The sequence below is a fragment of the Homo sapiens genome, chromosome 1, assembly GCF_000001405.40.
Source record: "Homo sapiens chromosome 1, GRCh38.p14 Primary Assembly".
NCBI classification, from domain to species: domain Eukaryota; kingdom Metazoa; phylum Chordata; class Mammalia; order Primates; family Hominidae; genus Homo; species Homo sapiens.
Genome location: NC_000001.11, coordinates 154500059 through 154515168, shown reverse-complemented (window position 1 = coordinate 154515168; position 15110 = coordinate 154500059). Strand labels below are relative to the sequence as shown.

General features: G+C 47.8%; 2 protein-coding genes across 16 annotated transcripts in view; one reads left to right on the top strand and one right to left on the bottom strand.

Annotated features, from left to right (window-relative positions):
* Nucleotides 1–12950, bottom strand: part of TDRD10 (tudor domain containing 10) — a 45929-nt gene extending 32979 nt beyond the window's left edge. For 6 of the 11 annotated variants that reach the window (XR_007076385.1, XR_007076384.1, XM_011509152.3 and 3 more), the window contains exons 1-5: nucleotides 12140–12950; nucleotides 8264–8292; nucleotides 7849–7970; nucleotides 6688–6746; nucleotides 5299–5373 (exon numbers count right to left, since the gene is read on the bottom strand). Coding sequence is in view for 9 of the 11 variants with exons in the window: in XM_011509152.3 (XP_011507454.1) it covers nucleotides 5299–5373; nucleotides 6688–6746; nucleotides 7849–7951 (237 nt within the window). In the remaining 2 variants the exon portion in view is untranslated. The remainder of the gene's footprint in view (nucleotides 1–5298; nucleotides 5374–6687; nucleotides 6747–7848; nucleotides 7971–8263; nucleotides 8293–12139) is intronic. The other 5 variants (XM_011509156.3, XM_011509157.3, NM_001098475.2 and 2 more) reach the window with 3 other exon arrangements.
* Nucleotides 12757–15110, top strand: part of SHE (Src homology 2 domain containing E) — a 32776-nt gene continuing 30422 nt past the window's right edge. For all 5 annotated transcript variants that reach the window (NR_135169.2, XM_005244891.6, XM_011509163.4 and 2 more), the window contains exon 1: nucleotides 12757–13733. Coding sequence is in view for 4 of the 5 variants with exons in the window: in XM_005244891.6 (XP_005244948.1) it covers nucleotides 13143–13733 (591 nt within the window). In the remaining variant the exon portion in view is untranslated. The remainder of the gene's footprint in view (nucleotides 13734–15110) is intronic.

Sequence of the window (15110 nt, the reverse complement as noted above, 5' to 3'; positions counted from 1 at the left end):
AGGCTGAACGTGGTGGCTCACTCCTATAATCCCAGCACTCTGGGAAGCTGAGGTGGGTGGATCATTTGAGGTCAGGTGTTCGAGACCAGCATGGCCAATATGGTGAAGCCCCGTCTCTACTAAAAATACAAAAATTAGCCAGGTGTGGTAGTGCACGTCTGTAACCTCAGCTACACAGGAGGCTGAGGCAGGAGAATCGCTTGAACCCAAGAGGCGGAGGCTGCAGTGTGTCGAGATCACGCCACTGCACTCTAGCCTGGACAACAGAGTAAGGCTCCGTCTCAAAAAAAAAAATAAATAAATAAATAAATAAATAAGCTGGGTATGGTGATGTGTTCCTGTGGTCCCAGCTACATGGGAAGCCGAGATAGGGGGCTTGCTTGGGCCCGGGAGGTCGAGGCTGCAGTGAGCCATAACTGCACCACTGCACTCCAGCCTGGGTGACAGAGCAAGACCCTGTCTCAAAAAACAAACAAACAAACAAAAAAACAAATGAACTAAGATCCCTGGCAGTAATACAGGTGGGACAGCAGTGGGTTGGCCGGGGTGCGAGCAGTGGCATGACAATAGGTGCCAGGTTCTGGATGGAGGTAACTTTTTGTTATAAAATAATTCCAAACATACACAGAAGTAGAGAGTACAATGAACTCCCACAAGCCCATCACCATGCTTCTACCAGCACCCCCATTCCGTGTGTTTCCCCTGTCTTTCCACCCCTTGTTCACCAGTGTCTTACAGAATCCTGGGCATTCTGTCATCTCACCCTTAAATACTTTAGCCTACTCCTCAAAGAGGCATTTTCTCACTAGACCATTATCAAACTAAGAAAAACAATAATGTCTTACTATCAACAGGTAAACCTCACCAATTGTCTCAGAAATGTCTTTTTGTGGTTGTTTTGTCCAAAACGGGATCAAGACAAAGGCTATCATTGTATTTCGTTATCATTTCTAAGTCTCTTCTATTTTATTTTATTTTTGAGACAGAGTCTTGCTTTGTCACCCAGGCTGGAATGCGGTGGCGTGACCTCAGCTCGCTGCAACCTCCGCCTCCCCAGTTCAAACAATTCTCCTGTCTCAGCCTCCTGAGTAGCTGGGATTACAGGCACCCGCCACCGTGTCTGGCTAATTTTTGTATTTTTAGTAGAGACGAGGTTTCACCACACTGGCCAGGGTGGTCTCAAACTCCTGACCTCAGGTGATCCACACGCCTTGGCCTCCCAAACTGCTAGGATTACAGGCGTGAGCCACCAAACACAGCCCCTAAGTCTCTTCTAAATCTCCTTAAATCTCTATCAGATCTACTTTAATTTTTCCGTGACTGAATTGTTCTAGAAATCAGGTCAGCTGTTCTATAGACAAGAGTGCTGCTGCTTTATGGCGGCATTATTTTGGTCTTCTATTCCCTATATTTCCTTTTGACTACAAATCTGCTATAGAGCTTGACTAGCATAGGTGTTTTTTAAAGTATAGGTGGTTTTTAAAGTATAGGAATACTTTAAAATGCTGTGGTCGCCTTTATCTTGCATCACTTTTTAGGGGGCTCATATCTGGTTATCTCATTTTTAGTGAGGCTAAAATTAGTCAGCAAGTTCAAATGGTAACATCCTAATCCATCCATTGTAAAACTGCCCATCAATACTTTACCTAATGAATTAAGCAAGCTCAGATAACCACTGTCTGAAACAGGTATCTTACTGGGGTTTGCACAATGGTCATTTTCTAATTCTATCATTTCTTCTGCATTTATGAGCTAGAGTTCTTCTGTAAAGAACTTTCTCTCATTCACTAGGATTGTTTGCTCTGAAAATGCTATTACATTGGTGTTGGAAAAGCAAGATAAATACTTCTTCCTTCTCTTTAATTATCAAGTTTTATGTTAATGAACCATTATCTTTCCATTTTCAGTTGTGTCCAGTGTTATTTTTCTTTAGACACCACTACAAATTAATGCTTTTTAAAATCATTGGTGAATTTTAATCAAATGTAGTACGTGATGCTCAAATTGCTCCGTCTTTGGTGCATGGGACACCCTCTTTGCTTGCTCTTGTGTCTTTTTATTTGGAAACTTTCAAATCAGAACAAAAATAGATAAAATAGTATTACAAATCCCTATATGCCTATCACTCAGCAGCCTCAGCAATTCTCAATTCATGGCCATTCCCGTTTCATCATAACATCTCTCCCGGCCACTAGGCTATTCTGAAACAAATCTCAAACACCACATTGCTTCACATGCAAACACTTCAGCACAAACTCCAAGAATTAAGAACACCACCTCTAAATAAACCACCCCTGAATAAAACCTCCTCTGTCTTTTCATTCAAACTTCAATAGTCTTTGATAGCTTTCTGGTATAACAGCTCCAGATCTGGAATCAGCCATTTCTCTAAGAAGGCCTGGTTCTCTTTAGCAGGAAAGAACATAATCTATGGGCCAGGAGTGTTACTGCTACTGGGTAATCAGAGCTCCAATGTCTCTCAGTAGACACAGCTAGAAGATATGCATCTTAAAAGAGGAAAAAGTCACCGGGTGCAGTACCTCTCGCCTGTAATCCCCGCACTTTGGGAGGCTGAGGCAGGCGGAACATCTGAGGTCAGGGGTTCAAGACCAGCCTGACCATCATGGAGAAACCCCATCTCTACCAAAAATACAAATTTAGCCAGGCATGGTGGTGCATGCCTGTAATCCCAGCTACTCGGGAGACTGAAGCAGAAGAATTTCTTGAACCTGGGAGATGGAGGTTGCAGTGAGCCAAGATCGAGCCATTGCACTCCAGCCTGGGCAACAAGAGTGAAACTCCGTCTTAAAAACAAAAACAAACAACAACAACAACAAAAAAGGAACAAAGTACTAAGACACACTCTAACACAAATGAACACTGAAAACATGCTTAGTGAAAGAAAACACAAAATTCGACATTGTATGATTCTATTGATATAAAATGTCCAGAATAGGAAATCCTTAAGAGACAGAAAGTAGATTCATGGTTACCAGGGGCTGGGAGGAAGGGCGAAGGCAAAGGACCGCTAATGAGTATGAGGTTTATTTTGGGGGTGATGAAAATATTCAGGAATTAGGATTAATAGCTGCACAATCTTGTGAATATATTAATAATTGAATTGTACTTTTTTTTTTTTCAGACACAGTTTCACTCTGTCACCCAGGCTGGAGTGCAGTGGCATGATCTCGTCTCACTTGCATCCTCTGTCTCCTGGGTTCAAGTGATTCTTGTGCCTCAGCCTCCTGAGTAGCTAGGATTACAGGTGTGTGCCACCACGCCTGGCTAATTTTTGTTTTTTGTTGCATTGCTGTTGTTGTTTGAGATGGAGTCTTGCTCTGTTGCCAGGCTGGAGTCCAATGGCGCAATCTCGGCTCATTGCAACCTCCAGCTCCCGGGTTGAAGTGATTCCCCTGCCTCAGCCTCTCGAGTAGCTGGGACTACAGGCACGCACCACCACTCCCAGCTAATTTTTTGTATTTTAGTAGAGATGGGGTTTCACCACGTTGGCCAGGCTGGTCTCGAACTCCTGACCTTGTGATCTGCCCACCTCAGCCTCCCAAAGTGCTGGGATTACAGGTGTGAGCCACTGCACCCGGCCAATTTTTGTATTATTAGTATTATTTGTATTATTAGTAATTTTTGTATTATTTAGTATTATTAGTAATAATTTGTATTATTAGTAATATTTGTATTATTAGTATTATTAGTTTCACCATGTTGACCAGGCTGGTCTCAAACTCCTGACATCAAGTGATCCGGCCACCTCGGCCTCCCAAAGTGCTGGGATTACAGGCATGAGCCACCACGCCCGGCCTGAATTGTACATTTTTAAACAATAAATTTTCCAGACTGGGCAACATGGTGAGACCCCATCTCTACTAAAAACACAAAAAAATAGCCAGGCATGGTGGTGCACACCTGTGGTCCCAGCTACATAGGAGGCTGAGGTGGGAGGATTGCTTGAGCCTTGAGGGCAGAGGCTGTAGTGAGCTGAGATCGCATCACTGCATTCCAGCCTGGGTGACAAAATGAGACCCTGTCTCAAACAAACAAACAAAAAAGTTAATGGTAAATTTTAAGATATGTAAATATTATATATATTTTAAATTTTTTTTTTTTTGAAACAGGGTCTCGCTCTATCTCCCAGGCTGGAGTGCAGTGGCGCAATCTCAGCTCACTGCAAGCTCCGCCTCCCGGGTTCACACCATTCTCCTGCCTCAGCCTCCCGAGTAGCTGGGACTACAGGCGCCCACCACCATGCCCCGCTAATTTTTTGTATTTTTAGTAGAGACAGGGTTTCACCGTGTTAGCCAGGATGATCTCGAGCTCCTGAACTCGTGATCCACCCGTCTCAGCCTCCCAAAGCGCTGGAATTACAGGCGTGAGCCACCGCGCCTGGCCTGAAAAGTTTTTTTAAAATACTGGCTACTGTAGTAGATGATCTTTCAACTCTGACCCAAGATTCTCGTGTCTTCTACCAGAAACCTGGAAACTGCTGCAGGCCAATTTGTTAGTTTGTAATCAGGGTAAAATCTTAGACGTTTCAGTTTTTTTGTTTTTGTTTTTGTTTTTTTGAGATGGAGTCTCGCTCTGTCGCCCAGGCTGGAGTGCAGTGGCACGATCTTGGCTCACTGCAAGCTCCACCTCCCAGGTTCATGCCATTCTCCTGCCTCAGCCTCCCGAGTAGCTGGGACTACAGGTGCCCACCACCATACCCGTCTAATTTTTTGTATTTTTAGTAGAGACGGGGTTTCACCGTGTTAGCCAGGATGGTCTCGATCTCCTGACCTTGTGATTTGCCCGCCTCAGCCTCCCAAAGTGCTGGGATTACAGGCATGAACGACCGCACCCAGCCCATTTCACAGTTCTTGACAGTTGACAGGGCATTAATGTTACCATTCAAAATTTTTTTTTTTTTTTTTTTTAAGAGATGTGGTCTCGCTATGTTGCCTAGGCTGGTCTTGAACTCCTTGGACTTAAGTGATCCTTCTGCCTCAGCCTCCCAAAGTACTGGGATTATAGCTGTAAACTACCATGCCTGGTCTAGAAATTTCTTTTTAAAACCCTACTCCTTCTCTAAAGCACAGCTCAAATCTTTCCTATGAGGCTGAGTTTGAGTCGAAAGAAGGCACTATGGGTAGGGGCTGCCGCTTTCTGCGAAGGGGACAAGGATGAAACGTTCCCTTACCATGGTGTGGGACAGTATGGCCAAGCAAGCCCCAGGTGCTGGGCTCTGGAATGGGGTCTACTGGGGAGGGGGGAAGAGAGAGGTGGCAGAACTGCTCAGCATCTTACCTCCCCAGACCACTGCAGGAACCACATGTAGGGCTCCTCTGCCCACTTCACTGTCAAGTAACAGGTTGGACCAGCCTGCCAAAATGGGGGAGGAAAACCAGCCCTAGTAGGCTCGTCTATCAGGTGCCAGGAATCCCCCAACCTGCCCCTTTGATTGAATATGATTTCATTTATTGGATCACAATGATTTACTATGCTCCAATAACATTTTCTTCTGTCAGACAAAACATAATGGTCCATCTTTTATTTGGTGAGTTATTTCCATATCTTATCGGTTACATGATTTGGCACAAAGCAAAGAACATGGGACTTGGGAGCAACTGAGCCTGGATTCCACTCCTGGCTGACCACTCACTAGGTCTGTGTACTTAGCTGCGGGACGTGACCTCTCAGAGCCTTGGCTGCCTCATCTCCAAGATGGGGGCATTACCACCACCCAGAGTTACAATAATAATTTAATAAAACCACATGAATAAAGCATTTAGCTTCTTTCCTAGAGCATGCCTGACAGTTAAAATATAGTAAATAGTGTAAAGGAATAAGGTACAACGAGGCAGAGATGATTGAGTGGAACTGGTTAGCAAGGGAAAATGGAGACAAGAAAATTTTGAAAAATGTCTGGCATGCTGCAGGGGTTCCACAAAGGTTAGTTTCTCTCATCCTTCTTCCAGGATTGAGCTCCTTGAGGGCAAGGACTAGGTTGTTTATCTTTAAGCATGCCAGACTGCAGGCACAATATTTTGCATGTAGTAGATGCCAAAAAAAAAAAAAAAAAGTCAGGAGGTGCTTCAATTCAATAGATCACACTTTCATTCTCCTTTCATCTGTATTTCGAATACACTTACTACAAAATTTAAGCACTTATATTGTTTTATAATTATTTCAGGTTTGTTGGTCTGGCCTCTCCAAATAGACAGTAAGGTGCCTGGGGTCAAAAATACGATTGCTTACATTCTACTCTCTAAGTCCCACTAACACAGCACTGACTGAACCAGCTCATTTAACAGTCAAATAGGTGTCATTTTTTTTGGCTGAAACCAACTGCTCCCCATTACCAAAGGATCAGCAGCTGAGCCCTAACAAGGTCCCTTCCTAAAAAGAAGCTACCTCAACCCAAAATGACAAGAAGGCTGACCAACCATCCAGGTATACAGGGATAAAGAGTGGGACTAACTGTCCAGGATGTCAAATTAGAATTTCAGTGCTAAAACTGGGAAAGTCCAAGGCAAACTGTGATGCATTGGTTACCCTAGTCACCAACGAGTGACTGTCTGCACTATCATAGCTCTCAAACGTCTTTAAAAACTGGGGAAATTAAGTTACTAGCAGGTTACTAAGTCATATGGGAAGGCCAAGGAAGATAAGCAGCCTATTGTGAAGAATAAATACCTTAGAAATATCCAGTGGAAGATTGCCAACATACACCTCTGTCTCTCTTTTCTTGAATCCTAAGAAGAAAAACAGCATTAAATGGCAGGCATACATACGGTTAGAGGATTCAGAGGAGTCAGAATACAGGATAGAGACAGGGTCTCTCTATGTTGCCCAGTCTGGTCTCAAATTCCTGGGCTCAAGCAATCCTCCTACCTCAGTCTCCCAAAGTCCTGGAATTACAGGCGTGAGCCACTGTACCTGGCTTCACTTTTTCTTCAATGTTAAAATATTCCCATGCACATACACCCCTACAAACATCCTCCCACCCCCATGAACACTGAATGGCTATACTGTACCCAATCATTCAGCAATACTTATCAATATTAAGAAGTGGTCCATGGGAAGTGCTGGCCATGCATACCCCTGCCTTCCCAGCAGGGGATCACTCTGCAGGGACCTAGAGCCATGGGCACACCAGGAATCCAGCGCTTTCAACGAGAGGTATTATGAAGTGTTTCGGGACCCACGGGGTTGTGCTTCCCGAGTTAACACTAAGCTGAGAGTGGGGAGCACGCAGGGGCCCAGGGGAATGCAGGAGGGAGGCTGAAGGGAATCCAGGCAGAGGGAACAGCCCATGCCAGGACATGGAGATACAAAAAAGCTGAGCACATTTGGGAAATTGCTCATAGCCAGGACTAGGTGCCAGGTGGATTGCACACTGCATGCAGTGAGTGGTGAGAGAGGAGGCTAGAAAGGGAGGTGAGGCCAAACTATGAAATAATGAAAGGCTGTACCACAGCAGTCACAGTTTATTCCACTGGCTGGGTGATACGGGTGAGGGCTGTAACCGGGTTGGGGAGGTGTCAATAGACCTGGGTTTCAGAAAGATCACTTTGGAGATGGTAGAGGGAAAATTGGAAGAAGGCACAAATGAAACAGAAGCACGGGGTTAGGAGCAGCGGGTGCACCAGGGAGTAAGGGTCTGCATCGCAGCAGTGGCAGGCGCCACATCCACTATGAGACAGGAAACATGGTGGCTGACTGGAGGAAGAGCAGAATCTAGGCAGATCCCAAGTTTCACATTGAACAGAAACTGGGCAGACTGGGAACCATTAACTGGAATCCAAGTTGTAGGATGAGAGTCCCAGCACCAGCGAATCCCCCAGCCTAACTTACCTGGAGATTTCTGCTCCTCCAACACTCCATTCTTCCCAAACAGTTTATCAGAGAGTTGGGGGTGACTAATGTTCCAGGACCTGTCAAACACAGGTGTCAGCATCGAACCTCCCAAGCTCAGACTCCGACAAAAGGAAACGTGTCAGGCATAAGCAGAGGGGCCTTGCATAAACCTCCATTCCCCTTCCTGACCAAAGGCTTCCCTTCCTCCTCCCAGAATCAGGTTCCAAGCCAGGAAGCCCTCCACTGGACCTTTTAAATCACTAAAAGTTAAAGTATACTTAGAGTTAGGATCAACTGGCAAGAGATGCCAGGGGTGACTCTTAAGACCAGGGCATGGTGAGACAGGAATGGGAGAAAGAGAAGGCTGGGGGATGGAGCGAGGCTTGCTCATCAGCAAAAGGAAGGGACTTACATGCTGCAGTTGCTTTCCAACAGGATCTCCTACAAAACCAACCGGCCACAGTTAGAGGAATGCCAGGATAGTTCACCATCATATAACCACCGAATAGGTACTGTGGTAAGCAGAATAATGCCTCCCCAACCAAAAGTGGTCCACATCCTAATCCCTAGAACCTATGAATGTATTAGATTTCACGGCAAGGTTGCAGATGGAGTTAAGGTTGCCCATCAACTGACAAAACAGGCCTGGCACTGTGGCTCACGCCTGTAACCCCAACACTTTGGGAGGCCGAGGCGGGTGGATCACCTGAGGTCAGGAGTTCGAGACCAGCCTGGCCAACATGGTGAAACCCTGTCTCTACCAAAAATACAAAAATTAGCTGGGTGTGGTGACAGGCACCTGTAATCCCAGCTACTCAGGAGGCTGAGGCAGGAGAATTGCTTGAACTCGGGAGGCAGAGGTTGCAGTGAGCTGAGATTGGGCCACTGCACTCCAGCCTGGGCGACAGAGTGAGACAACATCTCAAAAAAAAAAAAAGAGAGAGACGTGACAACAGAAACAAAGTTAAAGTGATGTGATATAAGAAGGACTCTACTACTGTTGTTAGCTTTGAAGATGGAGGAAGGGGCCGCAAGCCATGGAATGCTGGCAGCCTCTAGAAGCTGGAAAAGGCAGGGAAATGGATTCTCCAACTAAAGCCTCCAGAATGAACACAGCCTTGTTGAAACCTTGATTTTAGCCCACTGAGACATGTGTCAGACTTGTGACTTACAGAGCTATGGGATAATATTTGCGTTGTTTAACCCACTAAGGTTGTAGTATTTTGTTATGAAAGCAAATCGAAAACTAATACAGACAGCATGGGCAACTTTAAAACCACACACCACTCTGCACAGTGGCTGGCCTGTGGAAAGAACAGAACTTTTGGAGTTAGATGCATCTATAAGTCCAGCCCAGAGACCCTGGGAAAATTTCATCTGTCAAGTCAGAATCAAAACACCCATGTCATAGATCATGGCAGTGAAGTGAGATACCGCACTTAAAGTATTTGCCATGTGTCAAGAACTCAATAAATGGTAGCTATTGTGTTTATTTTTATGGATTTTATGGGCACTTTTCTACAATTCCGTGAGTATTATCTTCCCATTTTACAGATGAGAAAACCAAAGCTCAAGGATATCAGGTGATTTTATAAAATTATAAAAGACACTGAGGTAACTCAGTCCTGTGATTCCAAAGCATTGGTTCTCTTTCTACAGATAACAAGGCGTCAAAGTCATTTTAAAGGGATTTTTTTTTCCTGTACTTTAGGGAAAACATAAATTAAAACATTAAATTTTAAAATAAAACAGTAACTCTTTTCTCTAAATTATTCCCAGGTGTAGGAGGGAACAACCATTTTAGCTACAACCAATTCTAAATAGAACTAAAAGTAGTTCAGATAATTAAAAGACAGGTATGGATGGATAAAAATGGAGAGAGAGGTTTATGGGCAAAATCAGAGATACAGGATGTTAGTCCCAGTTCCTGGTAATCTCTGGAAAAGCCTATGGGCTTCTGAAACAGAACAGGCACTGAGACCTCCCAAGCCAAGGCCCAGCATAAATCCGTGCAAGATGCCTTTAAGGCCTGCCAGGTACTATGCTAAGCAGCTAACACACATTCTCATTTAATCCTCACTCAAACTCTAAGAGGGAGACATTGTTAACCCGTTTTACAGATGAAGTCCCGGAGATGCAGAGATGATAATCTAGTATTTGGCCAAGATCACTTAGCATCCATGCTCACAAATGGGAGAAGCCTGTTTTCGTTGTGAATCCAAACCATATGACCACATGATTCCAAAGTCCTGAGTTTCCTTCCAATCTATTGTTTGGTCTGGAGAAGTAACCTATTTGTGTAGTTTTTTGTTGTTGTTGTTTTTTGTTTTTGAGACAGGGTCTCACTCTGTCGCCCAGGCTGGAGTGCAATGGTACGATCTCGGCTCACTGCAACCTCTGCCTCCCACATTCAAGCGATTCTCCCACCTCAGCCTCCCAGATAGCTGGGACTACAGGCACACACTACCACGATGGCTAATTTTTGTGTTTTTAGTAGAGATGAGGTTTCACCATGTTGGCCAGGCTTTATCTGTGTTTTTAAAAAGACCTAAAGAATACATAAGGAGCTCTTACAACTCACCAACAAAGACAACAAATAAACCAATTAAAAAGTGAGCAAAGGATCTGCTAGACATTTCTCTGGAGATATACAAATGGCCAATAAGCACATGAAAAGATGCTCTGCAACTTTGGCCACTAGGAAAATGCAAATCAAAACCACAAAGATAACACTTCATATCAATCAGGGTGGCTAAAAGCAAGAGATACAGACAACATCCTCTATCTCTAACAAGTATTGAGGACATGAAGAAACAGGGGCCCTCATATTGCTGGTAGGAATGTAAAATGGTGCAGCCACTTTGGAAAAGTTTGGCAGGCTCTCAAAAAGTTAGACAGGGAATTACGATATGACCCAGCAAGTCCACTCCTGGGTAACTATTCAAGAGAAATTCAAATATGTGTCCACACAAAGACTTTTCCACAAATATTCATAGCAGTGTTGCTTATAATAGCCAAAAAGTGAAAACAATCCAAATATCCATCAACTGATGAATGAATAAAGTGCTGTATAGCAATACAATAGAATATTATTTGGCAATATAAAACGAATGTAGTAGTAATACATGCTATACGACCTGGATGAATCTGAAAAATGATGCTAAGGGAAAGAAGGCCACATATTGCATGATTCCACTTCTCTGAAAAGTCCTGACTAGACAAATCTATATAGACAGAAAGTAGATTAGTGGCTGTCTAGGACTGGGAAGGCGGAGAGGGAAATGAGGAGTGACTGCTAATTGACGGGAGATTTCTTTTGGGGGTGATGGAGATGTTCTAAAATTAGATTGTTGCGATGGTTGTACTGTAAACACACCAAATATACTGAAAACACTTGAGGTGCACACTTAAAACAGGTGAATTTTATGGTATGTGAATTATATCTCAATAAAGCTTTAAAAAAATGTCACTACGCATTTTCAAGAACGTCAGTATGAGCACGCATTTCTTCATTTTAGCTTTCCCACCTCACAAACCACCACCCACACAAATGAGGCCGTCCACAGTCGCCATCATTCTGTTTCCATTGTATATGAGGACTCAGTGTTGGTCAGCCCCTTCAGCACATTTAGTTTGCTAAACCAAAAGATTTCCGTTCAGTAAACTAAGTTTAAATTTCTTTTTTTAAACCAGAAAGGTGTTTTTTTGTTTGTTTGTTTTTTGTCTTTTTGAGACGGAGTCTCGCTCTGTCGCCCAGGCTGGAGTGCAGTGACTTGATCTCAGCTCACTGCAACCTGCGCCTCCCGGGTTCAAGCGATTCTCCTGCCTCAGCCTCCTGAGTAGCTGCAACCATAGGCGCGCACCACCACGCCCGGCTAATTTTTGTATTTTTAGTAGAGACCAGGTTTCACCATGTTGGCCAGGCTGGTCTCGAACTCTTGATCTCAGGTGATCTGCCCGCCTCGGCCTCCCAAAGTGCTGGGATTACAGTCGTGAGCCACCGCGCCCGGCCTCAGAAAGCTTTTAAAGGGCTTCGAAGGGAGGGAGGAATGGCAGAGGCGTCTTTTCCCTTAAAGTGGCCACAGTTCTGCACACGGCACTCCCCGCCCGCACAAATCCAGACTAGGAGGGCCGCTCCCAACCGGCGCGAGCGAGCGACGGCCCCGCGGGAACAGCGACCCCTTTCCCCCATCAGTCGGGACGAGGGCGTTTCCCATGGCTGCCTGCCGACGCCCCTCCCTCCCAACCCTCGCCTGGCATCCCGGGACCTGGGGCCGACAAGCCATACCTCGTCTCGCGGGCCACGCGCGTGCACCTGCGATCGCGACGCCCAGCCTTCGCGCCTTCTCCCTCCGCGCTCCGCCCCCTCTGAGCCCGGGGGCACGGGGCGGGGCTTGCCGGCAGCCAATCCCCGGCGGCCACGGCGGGAAGAGCCTCGCGCTGCCCAGGACCGTGTGCCACCGAAGAGTAACGGAACTAGCGCAGGAGCTGGCGACCGTTGTCCCTGCGCCCGGACCTCGGGCCGCAACCTCTGCCCTACCGCCAAAAATAACGTCTGCAGAAAGAGTGGAGTAGAGCGGAGTGGGTGGGCGAGGGGCTTCCTTCCCGGGGGTGAGCGGCGCACGTGACACTCCTGGGCGCGTGTGAAGGCAGCGCCCGGCCGAGACCGGCTCGGTGCAGACGCGGGCTGTCGGCGGCAGAAGGGGGCTCTCTGCTCAGTGGGGCGCGGCCGATCCGCACGTGCGGCCGCCGCCCCTTTCTCCAGAGCTCGCAGCCCGACCCGCCTCTGCCATGGCGCTCACCCCGCCGCCCCCAGCTCTGGGCAGGAGGTGGCGGGGCTGGGAGGCGCCAGCCGCGGAGGGGAGGGGCGCGCGGAGTTGATGGGCCGCTCGCCGTCCGTCCACCGTCTGTCGCTGCGCCGGGGATACTCCCGCCGCCTCCGCTCGGTCCTCTCTGGTCCCTGGGAGCGTGGGCTGGGCCGCAGGGGGCTTCCGTGGGCCTGGCCTCTCCCACCGCAGGAGGAAAGAGCAGGGGGAAGCCCCCGGCGCCCGCCGCCTCCGAGAGCCACGGTGTCCTCGGGCCGGGCAGGCGTTGAAGACGAGCCCGGGCGGGGCCCCCCGCGCGTCGTGCCTGTCGCCTGCCGTGTCCGGAGCAGAGGCTAGCGCCCGCCCGCTCGGCGCCCCGAGCCGTGAGAACCCCACCCTGCCGGGCGTGGGCGACGGCCGGCCGGGGGCGCACGGAGCAGCCGTCGCGGGGCCTCGCCGCGGCCTCCAGCGCCCCAGTCACGGGGAATGCAGTGGTCCCCGACCCCTGGCGCCTCTGCGTGTCTGGGCTGGGCTTCCTCGCTCGCCTGCTCCACGGCCCCGACGCTCCTGGGCCGAGCCGGCCGGGGCCCCCTCATGGCGGCCAAGTGGTTCAAGGAGTTCCCCCTGAACCTGAAGACCGTGTCGGAGCGGGCCAAGCCCGGGGGCGGCGGCGGCAAATTGCGCAAGAACTCGGAGGCGGGCGGCGCTGGGCCGGGTCCTGGCAAGGGCCGCAAGAACTCGGCGGCCGAGCTGGGGAGCGGCAGGGCCGGCGTCGGCCCCAAGGACAGCCGGCTGTCCCGCGACAGCCTGCAGGGTCTGATTCAGGCCGCCGCGGGCAAGGGCCGCAAAAACTCCCGGGCCACGGAGGAGGAGCCCCACCGGGGTGCAACCAAGAGCTCGGGCTGCAGCACCTACATCAACAGGCTCATCAAGGTGGACACTCAGGAGAAGAACGGGAAGAGCAACTACCCCAGCAGCAGTAGCTCCAGCTCCAGCTCCTCTTCCTCCGCGTCCTCTTCCCCTTCCTCCCTGGGGCCCGAGCTGGACAAGGGCAAGATTATTAAGCAGCAAGAGACGGTAAGAATACAGCCTCCCTTGGACCACCTCTCAGTCGAAGGGGAGCCCTGGGCGCCTGCTAAGCCCTAGGCTTCTTTAGACCTAAGAGGCAGTGAGGATAGGTTTCCTAAGGTCCTTTCTCCCTCCACCATTTGGGAATTCCTGACCATTTAAAATTCTTAGACTGTTTTTTAATTCTTGAAAAACTCTTATTTTAGAGGTGGGGAGTTTTGCAGAAATGTACTAGCCATTGAATTTTGTTAGCAGTTTAGAAGAGTCGTTGAATGAGATATTCCTGTTTGGTTACATTTGACCCCTTTATAGATGTGGTTCATTTTAATTTTGATATTCAGGGGAATTGCAAAGCTAGGCTTGTGTATGACTTTTATGCTTCTTGAGCATAAGGAATGGTAACCTCTCAAGTGTGTAGATATGCATTTCAAAGCTTCAGGAAATGGTTTAACCAACAGTCTTCTCCACTGATTTGGAAGTTCCATCATTTTCTGCGGTTCCACCGAGTAAAGGGCTCCTCGGAGGTTCAGCAAATCTCCAAGACTGCTGCCCTTTCATTCATTCCATGGGCATTTGTTGCGCAGCAGCCATATGAGGAAAGGAGCACAGGGCATTAAGGGCTGTGGAGGATACAGAATATGACAAGGAAATGCTCTCAAGGAAATTACAGATGAGAAGAGAGGGTGTTTCCTGCGACGGACACACTGGAGGTTTTCTGGGTGCTGTCCAATGTGGAAAAGTTAAGAAAAGGAGTGTGAACATAGGAAGGGACTCCCTCCATTCTTGCTGAGATGAGTTGGTCCGATCTGGTTGTTTTTATCTTCTCTCCGATGTGAAAGGGGGAGAGAGAAGAGCTCAAATCGAGATTTCAGACTCCGGTCCAGGCAATCACTTCCTAACATGCATGGGAGCTTTAATTTTCTCTTGCCCAGGCTTCAAACATGCTACCTCCCTGGTTGAAGTCAAGAGCCCATAACACATGCTGTGTATGTCTGCATTGGGCACTTCTGTTCATTCTTCCATTCATTTTTTCATGCTGTAAATACAGCATGCCCACCCTGAGCCAGGCACTGAGTGGAGAGCTGTGTAAAGATGGACGGGGACCCAGCTCATATGTTATTCAGTGGTCCACCTGACTGTGTGACTAGATCACAAGCACCTTGAAGCCAAGGGCTCACTGTATCTTGCAAATGCGGTACACATGGTGGGTAGTCAAGAAAAATGGATTAAGTGAATGGCAGTCGCAGTCACAGTCCCTTGCAGTGGTTGTCTGGTTATTTTTATGGTTGTCACTTCTGGGTGTCTGAGGTTTCTGAGGCTATTTCCAGGCTGTTTCCTCCTCTTCGCTTCTCCTCATGTATCTGAATTCTCACCAACTCCAGTGTT